At 51.6% G+C, this 17,330-nt stretch overlaps 1 protein-coding gene across 4 annotated transcripts in view, besides 2 other annotated features; it reads right to left on the minus strand.

Annotated features, from left to right (window-relative positions):
- Positions 561–17,330, minus strand: part of TMPRSS13 (transmembrane serine protease 13) — a 28,762-nt gene continuing 11,992 nt past the window's right edge. The window contains exons 3-13 of one of the 4 annotated variants that reach the window (NM_001077263.3): positions 17,090–17,194; positions 14,312–14,434; positions 13,697–13,826; positions 11,688–11,780; positions 10,627–10,670; positions 9,726–9,888; positions 8,532–8,704; positions 5,558–5,656; positions 3,879–4,021; positions 3,575–3,727; positions 561–2,185 (exon numbers count right to left, since the gene is read on the minus strand). In NM_001077263.3, coding sequence (NP_001070731.1) covers positions 2,159–2,185; positions 3,575–3,727; positions 3,879–4,021; positions 5,558–5,656; positions 8,532–8,704; positions 9,726–9,888; positions 10,627–10,670; positions 11,688–11,780; positions 13,697–13,826; positions 14,312–14,434; positions 17,090–17,194 — 1,253 coding nt within the window. In that variant the 3' untranslated portion in view covers positions 561–2,158. Of the gene's footprint in view, positions 2,186–2,961; positions 3,372–3,574; positions 3,728–3,878; positions 4,022–5,557; positions 5,657–7,716; positions 8,705–9,725; positions 9,889–10,626; positions 10,671–11,687; positions 11,781–13,696; positions 13,827–14,311; positions 14,435–17,089; positions 17,195–17,330 lie in introns of those variants that run through there. The other 3 variants (NM_001244995.2, NM_001206789.2, NM_001206790.2) reach the window with 3 other exon arrangements.
- Positions 7,234–7,734: an enhancer, noted in NCBI's record as "H3K4me1 hESC enhancer chr11:117778029-117778529 (GRCh37/hg19 assembly coordinates)". NCBI's record gives its function as "activates a minimal SCP1, AML or CMV promoter by ChIP-STARR-seq in primed H9 embryonic stem cells {active_cell/tissue: H9 hESC(primed)}" and the evidence as "EXISTENCE:reporter gene assay evidence [ECO:0000049][PMID:30033119]".
- Positions 13,860–14,852: an enhancer, noted in NCBI's record as "H3K4me1 hESC enhancer chr11:117784655-117785647 (GRCh37/hg19 assembly coordinates)". NCBI's record gives its function as "activates a minimal SCP1, AML or CMV promoter by ChIP-STARR-seq in naive and primed H9 embryonic stem cells {active_cell/tissue: H9 hESC(naive and primed)}" and the evidence as "EXISTENCE:reporter gene assay evidence [ECO:0000049][PMID:30033119]".

Here is a 17,330-nt window from a genome sequence, read left to right on the forward strand (position 1 = left end):
AGAGGTAGATCGTTCAGAAGAGGCCAGTGGGACCACCCATCCGATTCCCTTGGAAATAGCTGAGTAAGCTTTGGGGTTTCCTTGTCAACATGTCTGTTGTTGAGCCAGCAAAGGCAGAAGTAGAGGAAGAGGAAGAGGGTAAGAACATGCCCTGGAGTGCCCTTCCCCTGCCCCCACCTGCTTTGTGAAGGTTCATTCCAAACCTGACCTCCTCTGTGAAGCTTCCTTGACATCTCTAGGTGTGGCTGGTGGTTGCTCTGTGCATGTTCCATGCGTGGTGTCCACACTCAATCACAGCTTCTATCACATTGGGTCATGACCCAGTTCCTTGAGGATGCTGTCATGCCCTTTGTATCTTCTGGGCCTAGCATGTGTACCGGGCACAGAGTAGGCACGGATGCAGCTGGTGAATGGAATGAATACATGAATGTATGGCTAAATGAGCAGAACCCAAAGATGAGGAACCAAAACTAAGAACCAAAACCAAGAGTGTCTGGGCACTAGGGTGGGCAACCTCAATTTGTTACCTAGGGTACCAGTAAAACATCCAAAGACAGATGTCTCAGGTCACACAACTTTTATTGCTGAAGACCATCGCTGGCGGCTGCTGCAGACAGGAATGTGGCCTCCTTCCCAGTCTTGCTAACATTCCCCAGTGTACCCAGCCCCATCAGCCCCTGCCCAGCCTCTCCAGCTTGCTCTTCTGGGGCAGTCTTTCCCTTGAGCGGCCATGGCCTGCCTGAGCTGGGCTAGGCTGGGCTGATCTGCTTGGATCCTGCCTCTGAGAAGCACAGCACCACAAAAGACTCTGACGGGCCCAAGGAAGGTGAGGGGAGCAGGACTGGCAGAGGAATAGGTGCCCCAGAAAAAAGGCTGGGGAAGGCCCAGGCTTTTAGCTGGCGAGTCCAGGCACGTTGATGATTTGCAGGAACAGGGCCAACTTAGATCCTTCAGCAGGGCTGCCTGGAAGGCATGGGACCATGTTAGCTTTCTCTCCATAGCAGTTTTTATGTCATTGCTATGTTTCTGAAACAACTGAGAAACTGAAAGGTGGAGAAAGCTGAGAAGAAATCCCAAAGTCCCAGGACAGCTACTGGGAATGAGAGAGGCAGTCCACCTGGACCTCCCTGGGGCCCCTGGGAGCCTACGCGGGAACAGCATCTGTTTCTTAACGCCTTCGTCAGAGCCCTGGGATGCAGAAACAGTTTGTGGACCTCGTCGTGTCGGATTTGCTTGCCAGCCCAAACAAGGATTTGCTTCCCTGAGTATCTCCTAGGGGCTCCAGATGCTGTAGTGACTTGGGGGATGCCCATCCTGGGGACTTTGTCCAGTCTCTTCATCCAGTTCCTTGAGGCCAGAAATATTCTGTAGGACTCTAAAATACGACATTTCCCATGAATCCCCTGGGGGTCTTGGGCTGATTGATGCCAGCTGTCAAGGCTTCTGGACTTTTTGGAGAATCTTTAAAAATACCCGTATTTTCATTTCTTAAATATAAAAATAAAATAAAATAAAACCCGCCCCAGCAGCTTGTGACCAAATGAGTACAGTGAATCCTCATCTCAGTTGTCAGCCTGGTTAGCCACAGCACAGTCCGACTGGTGACATCCACGGCACCAGCAGGGGGTCTGGGTGAGGACTTGATGCTCATAAAGCCAACGGGAGCAGCTTTTCACCGAAGACGGTCCAGGCCCTGGGAAGCTGCATCCACCAAAACCCACGATCCATCCCAGGACAGCAATGGCGCCACCTGGGCCGCTGGCATCTGCCCACACTGGGCTAGTCTGTAAGTGAGGGTCAGAGAAGCAAGAATTCCCAGCTCTTCCTTGGGCTCTGGGCTCCACCTCCTCCATCCATCTATGGACACTCCTGTAGGAACATCCACGGTACTCAACTCTTGTCTCCAGGTAATTTCCAGCCTGGGATTTTGAGAAGAGTTGACAGCTCTGCTGGTTTCTGAAAAACTTGGGAGAGTGGCAATGCACACATATGCACACACACACACACACACACACACACACACAGAGGCAGCAGACAGTGGAGGTGGGAGTCCGATGGTGCCCGGTGGCCATTAGCCCAGATGATGCCACACATGGCCAGTCACCATGGCCAGAGTCTTCACAGCAGCCGGTGCTGTGCAGAGCAGCAGGCCAGCTGGTTAGGATTTTCTGAATCGCACCTCGCTCTGAGGAAGAGAATGGGAGAAGAGGGTGAGGGTGGGCCAGGTGGGCGAGGAGCACAGAAGCCCAAGGTTGGGGTTCAGAACCTATAATTTAGCCTCGCTGTCACCTAGCACTGCCTCTCCAAGGAGGGAGAGCAAAGGGAAAGGATGGATGCAGGATTGGAGGGCCTCTCTGCACTAGATTTCTGGAGCCTTTTCTGCTCCCCCTATCTGAGCCCTCCCCTGTTCCCCAGGCAGAGAAGGGGAGGGCTGGCAGAGCACCCCCTGCTTTACAGCTAAAGGCTGAAGGCCCAGAGAAGGCAGGGTCTCAACTAGGTCAGCAGAGTTGCAGGCAGATCCCTGTTTCCTGACACCGAAATTCCTGCCGTGGAGGGAGGCCTCCCATCACTCCACTGCCAGCGGCCTGTGTGAACTCACATCTCGGTCATCCCTGGGAGAGGAGAGTGGCACTGGGGCTGGCACCGAGGTGAGGCCCACCTTTTATTCTTTTCATTTATTTGTTTATTCATTCATCCTTAATTTATAACAATAAATAGTAAATACCGAGGATATTCCAGGCATTGTAAATGGCTGATTTTGATAGATTAGTCAGAGTTCTTCAGTAAGAAAAATGGAAGATGAGAGGGTGGAAGTGGGAGAGGGGACTCTCTAGGGTGGATCAAGTATTCCAAAGGCCAAGGGCAAGGTAAGGCACACACTGAAGGGTCTGTGGTTCAGTTTGACCTGAGCAATGACTTCTGAGGTTGGATATAGGTTAAAGCAAGTCAAAAAACATAAAATAACTTTTTATTATTTTATTACTTTATACTCTTTTATGATAGTAGTGAGGTTCTGATGAAATATTTTAAGTGGGAAAGGGAAAGAATGGTAGTTCTCAGGGAGCATTCTGGTGACAGCTGTGAAAGTTGTCAGAGTTAAAATGGAGTCACTTGTGTTTTTAAAAAAAGACAACAACAACAACAAAAAGAAAATCAAAAAGACTAAAACAAACAGAGCTGGGAAAGGCCATGAAGAGCGGATTCCCATGCATAAATGCTTGATAACAAAAACTATCACAAAATCCTCTGCAGAAACTGAAACGTTTTCAAAGTCCATTGCAACCTTACACAAAAAAATACTTCTGGGAGAACATCTGCCCAGCAACTGCCTGCCTGGCCTGTAGGTCCACCCTTTTTCAACCCGCTGAGCTCTGTTCTGAGGGAAGAAAAGCAGGGAAAGAAACACAGACAGCTGGGATTGACCCCAGGCATCACATTTGACCCTGTCCAGAACACCCCCCGAATATGGGGACGCTGAGGGGACCTCTGCCTACAACCTGGGTGCTCCTCCAGGGTCCCCACCTGAGGAAGTTCCCAGCCTGCTGGGTGCAGTGTCCTGCTGCAGGGATCTTACCTCCATCTTGCTGTAAATCCAGGGAAGAACTTCTGTCACTTTGGTGTACACACCAGGTTTGTTTCTCTGGCCACAGCCTGTGCCCCAGCTGGTGACACCTGCCAGGTACCAGCGGTTGTTCTGCTCACAGACAAGAGGCCCCCCGCTGTCTCCCTGCAGGGGAGAGGGGGCACATTCGCAGGATGGGACAGGTGGTCCATGAGCGGGAAAGGGTGGGGTCCCAATTCCCACATCAGCCCCAACACCCCTGCCTCCCCCATCCCCAGGGTGCTGGGACCTGAGCCCCACCCACAGGTACCCTCACCTGGCAGGAGTCTCTGCCCCCACGAAGGTCCCCAGCACACATCATCCTTGGGGTAAGGTAACTGTCATAGACCAAGTAGTCATTGCATTTCTTGAAGTCGATGAGATTGACCTGCACCTCCCGGAGGAAGGGGGATGTCTTGTCTTCAGTGAAGTGGGGTGGAGGAGACAGAGGATGGGAAGCCAGTGAGATTCTAGATAGCTTCCTGGCCGTCCAGCTGCCACCCCAAGACCCAGAATCACAGCCTCCTGGGAATGGAGGGTGCCATGCCCGTGCCTGGCTCCCACCCAAGGGAGGCCCTCTGTGGTTGGACACCCAGGACATATGGGCACACACGCCCTCACACAAGACACAGCTCACTGCACGTGAGACAGAGACATCCATGCACACAGACACACTCACAAGCCTATCAGGCTACCCGACATGTTGCACAGCACTTGCCTACGTTCAAAGCACCCTCAGATACATGGCTTTGTTTGTTTTTGGAAGCTATGTGCCCTAAAGAGAGCAGGTGGCATTAATCCATTTACCGGTGGGGAGGCCTGGTGCTGGAGAAGTGACCTGCCCACAGTCACACAGCTAGTCAGGTATGGAGACAAGAGGAGAAGTAGGCTGCACCCACATCAGTCATTGCTCTGCCTCACGGAGGGAGGGAAAAGCGGTCCTGATGCATGGAAGTGGCCTGAGTCTAACCATGGGGTCATCCTGCTCAAAGTAAGCAATCTCACAGGACAAGGCACTCTGTGATTGGGATGACATGAAAACAAGACCACTTCATCATCTTGTTTAAGGCCAGACAAAAACAAGGTCACTGTGCAAACCACAACAGTACCAGACATCCCCCTCTCCTGGCCAATATGAGTGACTGCTGCTTCCTTACCACTTAGAGCTCCTAGATAAGATTATATATATATATATATATATATATATATATATATATATATATTCTTAATTGAGACGGGTTTCACTCTGTCACCCAGGCTAGAGTGCAGTGGCATGATCATGGCTCACTGTAGCCTCAACCTCCCTGGGATCAAGTGATCCTCCTGCCTCAGCCCCTCTCATAGCTGGGACTACAGGCACACATCACCATGCCCAGCTAATTTTTCTATTTTTTGTAGAGATGGGGTTTTGCCATGATGCCCAGGCTGGTCTTGAACTCCTGGGCTCAAGAGATTCTCCCACCTTGGCCTCCCAAAGTGCTGGGACTACAGGTGTAAGCTACGGTGCCCGGCCTCTAGATAAGATTATTAAGGTTCCCAATCATAACCCCTGCTTCCTGACACCACAATTTAGAGAAAAGTCCTGCGTCTTTGAACCCTCCCCAAGCCACCTAAATCCTACGAGCATTCCCTCTCTGACACCCTCTTGCTGAGATGCTCCATGGTTCTTCATGGTGTGTTCTCTCTCTCATTGCAATGAGCAATGAACTCAACTAGTTCAACCACAGCAGTTTTCCAGGTGGTCTTGATTGGAGGGCATTGTCACAGTGACTGCACCGGCATATACTCAGGTGTCTATACACACATAATCACACCCAGGCCCATGAATCCGTATACCCAAACGCTCATCGACATAGGCCTTCATCTGTATACCCAGACACATTGCTTACACACGCACATGTATACACACACATGCACATGAATACATACACACAACCAAGCATCTTTGCCTCTTACCATCTGTCTCCCTGGTCTTGCCAAAGCCTGTGATCCAGCAGGTCTCATTGAGGCTAAAGGTCTGTCCATGCATGGGGAGGCAAGCAGGGTGGATGTGAGCTGCAACAAGACCTCCAGACGTCAGTGAAGGAACAAGGCTGAGACTTTCAGTAGGGGGAGGGAGAAGGAGCACAACCACTCTGGGGGCAAGGAGGGGTCTCCTAGAACATTAATCCTTGACTCTAGAGTCCTGGATCTGAATCCTCCAGAGCCTTGGACTGACCAGACATGAAACTCGATCACTTTATCATAACCCACCAGCATTTGGGGGCTACCAGAGTCCTCAAAGCCGTTCTGATTTCAGTGGTTGCCCTGTGGTCAGATGCGTAAGCCTTGGAAGCTCCCTTGTACAAGCCGATACTGGGCAGCTGAGGGTCTCTCCCTACTGAGAGGGTCTCTCCTGGTGGAGCCTCTTCCATGTCTTTCCATTAGAACAAGGAACAGCAGCAGGCTAAGACCCAGATATTATGACCATGGCATCTCAGCGGTATGTCCAGCCTGGTCTGGCGAGGGTACCCACTGGTTGTCCAGAGCCTGTGGCTCTCCTTTTAAATGTTTTCCCAGCACAAGGTAAGAAATCTCTCCAAACAGGAAACACATTCCTAGAGACACAGACCACAGAATTCCTGCTAACTTGATCCCACATTCAGAAATATTATATTTAGAAGTCACTGTTATATATCACTTCATAAGCTCTGAGGACTGGTGTCCCTAGGGGGACCAGGGCATTGACCAACACATCTGAGTTTGCAGGAGGAAAATATTAGTTAATAGAATGTTTGCAGTATTCTCAACCCTTTGTTATATTCACTGCAGTATTCTGCACCTAAGATAATGCCTGTCACATATTAAGTGCTCAATAAATGTTTAAAAAGATAGAGACAAGGCAGGAAGCGTAGATGGGAAGGATGATTTTAAATTCTTCTCCCATAAATTGGAATTAGGCTTTAAACATTGGTGTCTACCTCACTTTTGTCTGCTAGAGAGTAAACAAAAAATAGATGAAGGAATAGCATGCATTATTAACAAAAATGCAGCATAGGATTTTTTTTCTATGCCCCTTTTTGAGATGTAAAGTTTTAAAAACATGTAACACTGTTACATGATCCATCGTTAGATATTTCACTGTTTTTTATGGGGGAATTAAATTTACCAGTGAACTTTCACAAGCAAAAGTACTGTGACTTCTAGTGCTCCACCTGCCAAATGAGTTTAAGAAAATCAGTCCTGATTTCTAAACCAAAAATCAGGGCACATGTTCTGGCCACAGGACTACATACATCTGAGCTGTGATTCTCAGACTAAGGGTCTGCTTCCTGCCCAAAAGCCTATTGGAGCCTGGAGGGAGACTATTACGTTTGAAAAGCATACGCAATGTGAGAATAGCTTTCATTCGCTTTTAGAAATTATTTAGTTTTGGAATTCCAAATAATATTAAGGGGTGGAGGGTGGGTGGGAGGTAAGATTTGGATGTTTAGCCAAATACAGCCTGGGTTTGACAAGGTGAGAAGGCCTGCTCTGGTCCTGCAGTCTGTGCCCTTCTTGTGTGCTGAGCGGCAGGGCAGGAGGTAGCGGGCATCCCTCACCTCAGCCCTGGACTCCACAGACAAGGATGGAGTTTCAGAAAGGCTGGTGGGCGTGTCGTGTCGTGTCGGGGCGTGGCTACGAGTGGGTGTGACGCTGCGTGGGCGTGGTTCTGGGCTAGCGCTGCCCAACCGAGCTCTACCCAGGGATCCTCCTCCTCACCCCACTCTGATGATCTAACTGCTCTGACTCATGATAGACACCGCCTCCATAATTAATGTGCGAGGAAACACCAGCTCACAGGCTCAGAGCACGAGAATGGCTGGACTAACCAGAGAGTCCTCCGAGGCTTCCAGAAATCCCGGTACTCCTCCTCCCTCTCCCACCTTTACAGATGCTTATGCCAGAGGGCTCTGGCTCCATTCTTCAGGGTCCTCCCTGAGCCCCCATTACCTGTCTTCTCCAATCTTTTCGGGACCCACCTTGGCTATCCTTCCTCTGCTGAGCTTCCCCTAGCCTGCCAGGATGATTAGTTGCTCCCGCCTATGCCACCATAGCTCCCTGCTCCCCGAAAACATCGTATAATTGGCCTCTACTGGTCGTCTTGGTGTATTTTATTTCTATTTGCAACTGTACTATAGGGCTGGCCATATAGTATTTGATAAGTGAACAAATGAGTGAATGGATGAATGATGAGTGAATGAATGAATGAATGAATGAAGTCTTCTTTGACGTCCCCTGTCCACAGTGATCTTCTGAGAACCTCTGCAGCATTTCCTTTGTGTAGCCTCCTTTGGTCCTTAGCAACAACGTTGTAGCAATTAGTTGTTTGAATGTGTACTCAGCTTAAGTTCTCGACTGCAGGGTAAGCAATTTGCCAGTCTAGAGCCAGGTGGGGAGAGCACTGCTTGGGAATCAGATCGACCTGGTTCCAATCCCAGAGCTACCACCTATTACTTGTGGCCTCAGGTAATTATCTCTCTGTAAAGCTCCATTTCCTCATATGTCAAATGAAGTTAATAATAGTGCCTGCTCCACAGGGTTGGTTGTGAAGAGTAAATGAAATCATATGTGTGAAATGCCTACCATAGCGTTTGGCCCCTAGGTGCTCAGTTAATACCAGTGAAAGAATTCAATCTATTGATTAAGATCAGTACCCAAGCCCTGACTCCGTCATCAATTTGTAATGTGAGATGTGTCATTTGGAGCAAACTTATTTATAACCCTTGGGCTTCAGTTTCCCTAATTATAAAACAGAAGTGTTCCATGTAAGGATCTTTAAGAGTCTTTGACTTCTGCCCTGCAGAAGCTTTGGGGCCCGGATATGAGTTGACAGATGCTGACAAGTGCGAGGGCTGCAGAGGGTGCTGGGGCTGGGGGGCAGGAGAGCGGGGAGTGCAGATTCCCTCACCGGACAGGGTCAGGGGCTTGGACAGCCGCATGAGGGCGATGTCATAGTCGTCCTCCTCATCGGTGTAATTGCTGTTGATGATGATCTCGGCAATGGAGGCTGCCTCAGGCAACTGGTGCAGGTTGCTGGTGCCCGCGTACACCTTCCAGCCCTCCAGGACCTTCTCCCGGGTCCTGCAAGAGCCACAAAGGAGCGTGGTCCAGTACCTGCCTGGCAGCGTTCACTGGCAGCCCCTGCTACCTACAGGGAGCCACAGTCAGAGCACCAGCTTGGAGGCAGGAGGATGGATAAAATGACCTCTGGAGGGAACCCTCTATCTTATCCCTGGAGTCCAAAGCAATCCCCCACAGCCCCTCAAAAATTATGAGCTTGCAGCTCTGCACCTTACAGTAATAAAGAGGGAAGGATGAGTAAGACCTCTGTGTGGCACTCCCCCCCCACTATCTCCTCTGCAAGTCACCAAGGATCAAATAGGAGACTTTGACTTCTGCCATGCTGAAACTCTGGGGCCTCGATATGAACTGACAGATGCTGACAAGTCACAGGGCTGCAGAAGGTGCTGGGACTAGGGATGGGGACACAGATTCACTCACCAGACAGGGTCAAGGGCTTGTACTGATAAGATCTCAGTATTATTACCCTCAGCAAATTCAGACAGGACAAAGTAACACACTGAACTCATTACTAGGGAGGCCAGTGCCCCTGAGGCCTGGTCCCAGAGCTCTTTCCTGCCCACCAGCCTGGGCTGTGGGCCCCCAAAGACAATAGACCAGCTGGTGACCGTTAGCAGCTGATACAGTGCCCTGCCTGCAATCCCTAACCCTCAATTTCTGGGATAACTAGGGGCTCCTCTGCTATGAGTTCCATTTGCAGGAAGCAGCAACAAACCCAACGCCTTTTTCATTTCACCCTGTTCTTCAGGGGCAGGCTCCCAGTCCCTCTTCCTGCCTGCCTCTCTCCCCCTTGGGGCCGTCAATGGGACTTTCTCATCCTTGGGCCTAGCTCGGAACAAACACCCCCGACCCACACTCTCAGGACCAGGTGAACACCCAAGCTACACCAGTGCCAACTGGCCCATGGGGGCTGGACTCACACCCAGAATCCTCCTCCACGAAGAAGTCAGTCTGCAGCCAGCCCTTCCTGGTGGTTCCCGACCCTGGGCAGTGTCAAATCACCTGCCTCTCAGGCACTTACACGAAGAAGCAGTGGGCGGCAGTGAGCACCCACTGGGCGTCAATGAGCGTGCCTCCACAGATGTGGGTGGTGCCGAAGTGCAGACTCACTTGCCAAGGCCACTTGCTATCCGAGGCCAGCGCCCCTCCCACGATCCGCCCGGTCATGGCCCTCAGTCCGCAGTCTGGAGGGAAGGAGTAGACGTACTGTGAACCCTGTTTCTCCCAGGGTTCTTTCCGAGCTCCTGATCAGGATGCCTCTGCTGTGCTCCCAGGGCCAGGACAGGCTCAGGCAGCCCCATCCTGAAGGGCACCCACCCTTCCATGGACGGGCTTTGCTCCCTTATCTGCTACACACAGCAGTTTCTGTGAGAGCAGAGCCACCACATGGTGGGGTGGCTTTCTGGGATCATTCCGCGGAAAGTTTGACCCCAGGCAGGTTCCTCTTTCTTCTCCTTCACTCATTCTTTCATTGACTTGACAAATCCTTTTGGAGTGTCCCAAGCTTTGGGCACTGTGTTGGGCATTGGGGTCATGATGGTAAGTCCCAGGACTGCCATTAGGTGCACAGGAATGCAGACCAGTTCTAATGTGACCCTGAATTGACAAGCATTATAATGAGGGTCTCTATTGTTTCTAAACATAGGAAGAATACACTTCCCCTGATGCACAGAAGACTCAGACAGCTTCCTTGGAATAAAAGGTTGCTGGGCTGAGCCCCTACCAGAGTCAGGAGAAGGGGAAATGTTACCCTGGGTGTACCGGTGCCTTACAGGGACTCCAGCCCTGAAGCAGGCCTGCTGGCTAAGACACTGTTCCTGACTTGAACCCCTGTGCCAAACACCTCCCTTGGAGGAGTGCTGCCCCTCTGCCCTTTACTCCCACACGACACTGGCCACAATCCAAGAAGAAGAACATCTTACGGGAACACTGGAGAGAGATATACCGCTGGGAAGGGCATTCAGACCTGCAGGGGGAGACACAGAAAGTGGGAAAAGGGCACATTAGCTACCTCCTCCAGGAAGCCTTCCTGATTGACTCCTGCTCAGTTCCTATCCTGTTTCCAAGGAAGCTACCCTTTGTACAGGAAGCAGGAGATTCTGAGCTTCCCCTTTCCCCATGTGACATTGTCCCTTCCAGTGCTTTGTCCAGAATCGGAGTGGCTCAGTGCAAACCATCTCCACTCTCATCCCCTCAACTAGTTTCCTTGTGGCACATTGCAGACATTGGCCCAGATCCATGTTCTTCGAACTTAGGACTTCATTGTCGCAGCATCTTTTCACAACTAAACAGGTGGTCTGGTGCTCCTCTGACACAGTTCCTCAACGCAGATGCAGAAACCACGCAGCACAGAGCTGGCATCCAGCTGCAGCAAATTCACATCCCTTCCCTCACCATTACTTCTCTTGGAGCCTGGCTTCTTCTCTCCCCTCCGTAGGGCAAACAATGCTAGCTGGCAGAGACCCCAAACCTCTGATGCTTCCAACGTGGCCCTCCCTGTCCCTGATGCCTGCACCTGGCGGTCCCCTACTGCTGCCTGTCTACCCTGTCCCCTAACTGCACTGGTGGAGAGAGCAGAGAATGGGCCGAGTAGAGGAGCGGCATGTGCAAAGTGTCATGCCAGGGTGTCAGTGGTGCTTCTCCCCCACCAATCCAGGTCCACTCCCTGCAGCAGCTCTCAGTCCAAACACCTGGCCGACTGGTGGTCCCAAGGTTCATGAATTGCCTCTGACGACCTGATAAACTCTCAGGGGCACCCCTGGTCTCCAGTTGTCCTCAGCACCGAGCCTCAGATAAGAATTCTTAAGTCAGAAGGCAGTTTGGTGAATAAGGACTATTTCCAAGATGCCCCTGAACACTCATGGTGGACTCCTGGAGGCTGGATACTAGAAAAGCCAGTGAAGGGGGCTCCCTGACTCAAAGACCCTCTCCTACCCACTCCTTCCCCTGCTCACAAACAGGCAGCCTGCCTGCCCCACCATACCTGTGGAGGCTTTCCTGGATGGTGGAGTTGTATCTCAAGATTGAGAAGCTGTTGGCAAAATCCCTGTGGGCAACCTCGGTTGTCCGGTGAGCACTACAAGGGAGCAGAGGGGAGAAGAATGAGCCCCCTGGAGACAGAGTCATCCCAAGTCCTCCAGCAGGCTAGAGCCCCACCAGCCCTGCCGACAGAGGCCAGACTGTGATGGTCTGAATGGTGGCCAACTCCTCCAAGCAGCAGCTAAGCCCCAATAAAGTGCAGCCCCACCCACATGCTCCACCACTGCCCCTTATCTCCCCCAACTCCCCTCCAAGATCCCCAGCCCTATGCACTACCCAGCATTTCTCATGGTGGAGACTGGTAGCATTAGCATTGCCTGGGAAGTTATTAATATTAGCAATGCTTCTGAATCAGAAGCTCTGGGTGTGGGCCCAGCGATCACCATTTTAACAGGTTCTCTAGTGATGCTGATGCACACTCAAGTTTGAGAAACACCAATCTTGCCCTTTTCTACCCAAACTGTCATCTGTGAATAAGCAGCAGCAGCAACCCCCCCAGACCTACTGAATAAGAATCTGCATTTTAAAGAATCCCAGGTTACTGATCTGTACATTAAAGCGTGAGAAGCTCTGGGCAAGCCCACTGGATCTTAGAACACAGCGTGCCTAAGAATCACCTTGGGATGTTTGCTGAGCAGGTTCTAAGTCCTAATCCCAGAGATTCTGATTCCAAGATGCATTTTCACAAGCACGGCGGGTGATTCTAATGTGTTCTACTCTCTGCATGGAACATATGTATATTTCTAGAACATGGTACACCCCTGCGTGACGCCCTGGCATGACACTTAGCACACGCTGCTCCTCTACTCAGAGGGCCCATTCTCTGCTCTCTCCACCAGTGCAGTTAGGCACCCTCTCCACTGTATGCCCTTAGTGCTTCACCCACATCCTCATCATTACATGTCACATCGTGCTGTGGTTATTGGTTTAAGTCTCTCTCACTGAGCCACACTAGAGGTCCTTCAAGGCTGGGCTCCTGTCTTATTCCTTTGTGTCCAGGTACTACACAGTATCTAGCACACGATAAAAGCTCAATGAATATTCTTTGAATAAGTGACATTCAAAGACCTGAATACCTAAAGGAGGTTCAGGCTTGCATAAGGCCACACAACTCATAAAAGATGCCCATGGTCTTCCATCTGCATTACTACCATCCCCCTTTCATGGATCTGGACAGGCTGAGGTGGGGTGGAGAACATGTTCTAAATCCTAACACCCCACCCCAGGTGTTTTTGGTGCTTCTTCTGTAGAGAACCCACAGTGAGATCTTAAACTCCTCTCCCCACAACCTCACACACACTGATAAACCCAAGACTACCCATCTGGAAAACTCAGTCCAAGAGGGAGGATGGAGATGCGTGTCTGGGCTGAAAATCAGACACTTCTTCAAGTGGAAGGTCATTGCTCACCTACTTCCTCCTCTACCTGTTAGCACTGCCTGATTTGTTTAAAATCTTTAGAGCCAAAGACCCTTATGATTCTGCCTAGCCTCACCTGCCCCATTTCATTCTCCATTTGATGAGGTCTGGCTCAAGACACAGTAGCTATAGCTCAAAGTCCATTGAAAGGCTTTGCACAACCTGAGCTTCTAGTTCCCAGATATAAGAAGAAAAGATCTGCCCAAATGCCTGCCCAAGTCGTAGGGCCACCACCACGATCAGTGAATGTGATAATGGATGTGAGCGTGCTTTGATGCAAAGAACCATCTAGGAGTCTGATACTATTGCAGATCTATACATCATTATGTTGGCCTCATGAAAACAATCTGCTCCAGACTCATAGGATCTCAGGGCCTCTGACTCTGAACACCTCGAGGGTGTCCAGAGCTAGTGAGATCAGCCCCGGTCCCCAAGGGTCTTTTTAATATAATGTTTCTGCAACATGCTTGAGACACCCTATGAAGAGCCTGAGACATCCCTGAAGCCTGGACTCTGGGGCCAGGTTGGGGGTTACCTCTCGAAACCCAGCTGCTGGCAGGTCTTCTCTGAGTAGGAGTCATTCCAGTTGCTGCTACAGATGGGAAGCCACTGATGGGAGGACCCAGAGTAGATTTTAAGCAGAGACTTGTCCCAGTCAAACCTCACTGCAGGGCAAGAAAAAGGCAGAGCAGGTCCTCAGCACCTAGGAAGCATCAAGCTCTTGGGGGATGAGCTGAGTGAGGCTTTGAGAAAGCGCTTGTCCTGACAGCACTCCTTGCTGAGGCCTGGGAAAAGTCCAGGAACATGGCCTGGGTCATGGGGGTTAACCAGTACTCAGAAGCCCAGGATGCCTAGCATGGACAGAGCCAATGCAAAGTCACTAGAGTGCTACAGACTGATGCAAACTGTGTATCAGCTCAAATGGGAGGCAATGGACAGGGAATCATTGGGTCTGGATTACATACATGCACACATGCACACACACATACGTGCACACACACATACATGCATACACACAAACATGCACATACACACACATGCACGCACACATATACACACACAGGCATGCATACACACACACATATACAAACAGGCACACAAACACATGCACATGCACACGCACGCGCTCCCCCGCACCCAGCCTCCTTACCGCAGCCCAGCTCGTCACTCTTCAGCTTGCAGTCCACCACCCCGTCACAGCGAACAGCGTGCTTGGGACAGCTCTCCCTCTGCTCCTTGTACCTGATCCCTGTGTGGCCCTGCCAGAACTGGACTAGAGAAAAAGAAGCAGACAGCTGGGTCATGGCCAGCCCCACTGAGATGAGACACTGAGCAGCCCAAGGACCTGGGGGTTCTGAGACACCGACCTGCAATCCCTCTTGAACTCTGGGGCTCTCATCCCCCATCTGTATGGAGAGAAAGGCTGCTCAGGAATGCTCCAGAATGCTCCAGAAAGCTCCTGCAAGCAGGGCAGCACCAGGCAGATTCAAGCAGCCAGCCACCCAGAAAGAGAGAGAAAGAGAGAGAGAGACAGAGAGTGCTGTGGAGATGGGGACCACCTTGGGAACTCCCCTCCCTACATGCTGGCCAACATAGTGGCCAGAGAAACCACCTCCTCCAGTATCCCAGAGCTTCCCTCTCAGAACCCCTCTGCCATCCCATCTTCTCTGTGCTCCGCAGGGTCACAGCAGATAAATTTCTGTCCTCACAGTCACACAGGCAACCACCGTCTGTCTGTTCTCAAAGGCGACCATCCTTCCAGCCTCAAAAGCTCCTAGGTTTTTTGCTTCTCCCTCTCCCCTGCGCAAGGGACACCTCTATGCTCAGTTCTTTCCCCATGACTTGTCTTTATGCCTTTAAATGTCTTTTCAATCAACCAGCAATTCTAGGTGGCTGATTCCCACATATACAAGTTGGGGCTAAAAGAAAACAGCTTTACAAGCCATATGTGCAAATCTGCTTCACGACTTCCTCCCTCTCTAACAGCAATCTCTTTCCAAACCAGGGGCTGTGGGCCCTCCTGCCTGGAGGCACCTCCCCTTGGCTGCCTCACAGACCCGGGTTCTAACTTCTCACCCTGCCGCTCCTCCTCCACCAGCTCCTCAGCCCCACCCCTTGCTTCTCCTCCGGGGCCCACTGTGCTCTCCATCACCCAGGGTAAAGGCCGCCCGGGTGTGACTGCTCCTTCCAGGTCCAGACACAAATCCCTCCTAATCTCTTGGGCTGGCCCCTCCTCTCTGTGCCCTGGTCTTCCTCCCATATCCTGGGCACTCAACCCCCGGGGAACCCTGGGCAGTCTCCCCTGGAGTGCTCATGGAGCCCCACGTGGATGTGTAGTGGAGAGGGTACTGGGCCGGGTTGGGAGTCAGGAGGCCTGGGCTCTAGTCCTGACCCCACCAGGTAGCTGCTTGGTGACCTGCACAAGTCAAGCCACCTCCTTAGCCCTGGAGGTCTAGAGGCCTCCCTGGCAGAGCTTTTGGGAACTTCAGGAAATGCTGTGAAACCACGCTGAGAGCTTTAGTTCTATTCTGTGAGCCCACCCGTGGGTGCCATCTCGCCCCTCCATGGGTTAGTCCTGTGGCTTTCATGGAGCAGGGTGCCCTGTAGTGGGAAAGGGAGGGAGGGCAGGGCAGCAAGTCACAGCAGGCACCATGCCGAGGCCTTTATGTGCATTATGACAAAGACCACCCCACCCAGTCAGACTGGTGGGGAAACTGAGGCTCAGAATGTTAATGGACTTGTCGAATTCACACAGCCTGTCGGTGGCAGAGCCAGGGTCTGTGTGGCACTAAAGCCTGCTCTGCCAGCACACTGCCCCTCCCTCAGAATCCCCTTCAGCAGCCCTGCCAGCAGACGTTTCCACACGCTGGTCCACTCCACCCTTCACCACTGGTGCTGCCTCTTTAACAGAATCCTTACTCTTTGGCCTGGGGTTTAAAGCTCTCTACAGCATGGCCCAGCCTTGCTGAACCAAACAGACGGCCCCAGGTCCCTGATAGTTCCTTCTCCACTTTGGTTAGGCGGGTCCCTTCCTCTCCCCCATGCTGTCCTTGCCACCTGGTTTCCCACATTTTCTGTGGCTGCTCATTCGCTCAGATGCCCTGCTGGGCATAATTGCTGTCCCACCTTCCAGGTCTTCATCTGGCCCCACAGCTGTAAGAAGCTATCCCCTGCATCCAACCCACACAGCTGTCATCCCCTCCTCATAGTCACACTCAAATGCATTTGCCCTTCAAAATTTCCAGCTATTCCCCCAGGAGACTGTAATCTCTCTGAGGACAGGACAGAATAATGTACATGCACATTTGCGCTGCCTAAAGTTTCCCACTGTGCTGGGCTCATAGTGGACCTCTGAGCAGAGAGCCCTGGGGCATGCCTGGGTATCTTTGCTGAAGAGAATGGGCCTGAACCCCTGAATGCTGAACACGTCATCCCATTGACTGAATATCCTTGACAGACTTTTTCCAATCAGTGTTTTCATGTGTGTTTTTTTAATAGCTAGTATTTGTAGATTTTGTTCCAGGAATTGTGCTGTTGTCTTATTTATTCCTCATAATCTAATGAAGTTGGAATGAGAACTTACGGGACACATAGTAATGAAATGGGTGAATGAATTTTGTCCCATCTGAAGATGCAGAAACTGAGCTCAGGGTGGTTAACTAACTTGCCCAAGTAAGCTGCATAGTAAGTGGCACAGATGAGAGCCAAGCTCAGGTTCCTCTGACTTCCACACTGTTAACCTGGATACCCCACAGGGGCCCCGGGGGCAGCACAGTCCAAGGCCATTTGCAGGAGTGTCCCTCTCTGGACACAGTAGCCGGGTGAGTGGGTGCTCCCCACACCTGTCTCCCCTGCCTGCCCCCATCCCTGGGTCCCACTCTGCCCAGCAGTGCCCAGAACCCACCCCTGCACCCTCCATTCAACTCACAGAGGATGATGAGCGAAACCACCAGGGCAATGAGGAGGAGCACGCACCCGATGAGCGGTAGCTGCTTCTGGCCCTCCCGCCAGGTGAACTTGGGCAGGCTCGTACCTAGGAGCAGGGCGGCAGCAGGGGAATATGAGGCTGGAGAGGAGTCCGACGAGATGGAGAGGGTGGGGGAAACAAGACTGTGGCCCAGGAGGGCCCCGTGAGGACCACTCCACCCCAGAAGTTGGAATGAGATTTT

Source organism: Homo sapiens, chromosome 11 (genome assembly GCF_000001405.40).
Source record: "Homo sapiens chromosome 11, GRCh38.p14 Primary Assembly".
In the NCBI taxonomy this organism is placed as follows: domain Eukaryota; kingdom Metazoa; phylum Chordata; class Mammalia; order Primates; family Hominidae; genus Homo; species Homo sapiens.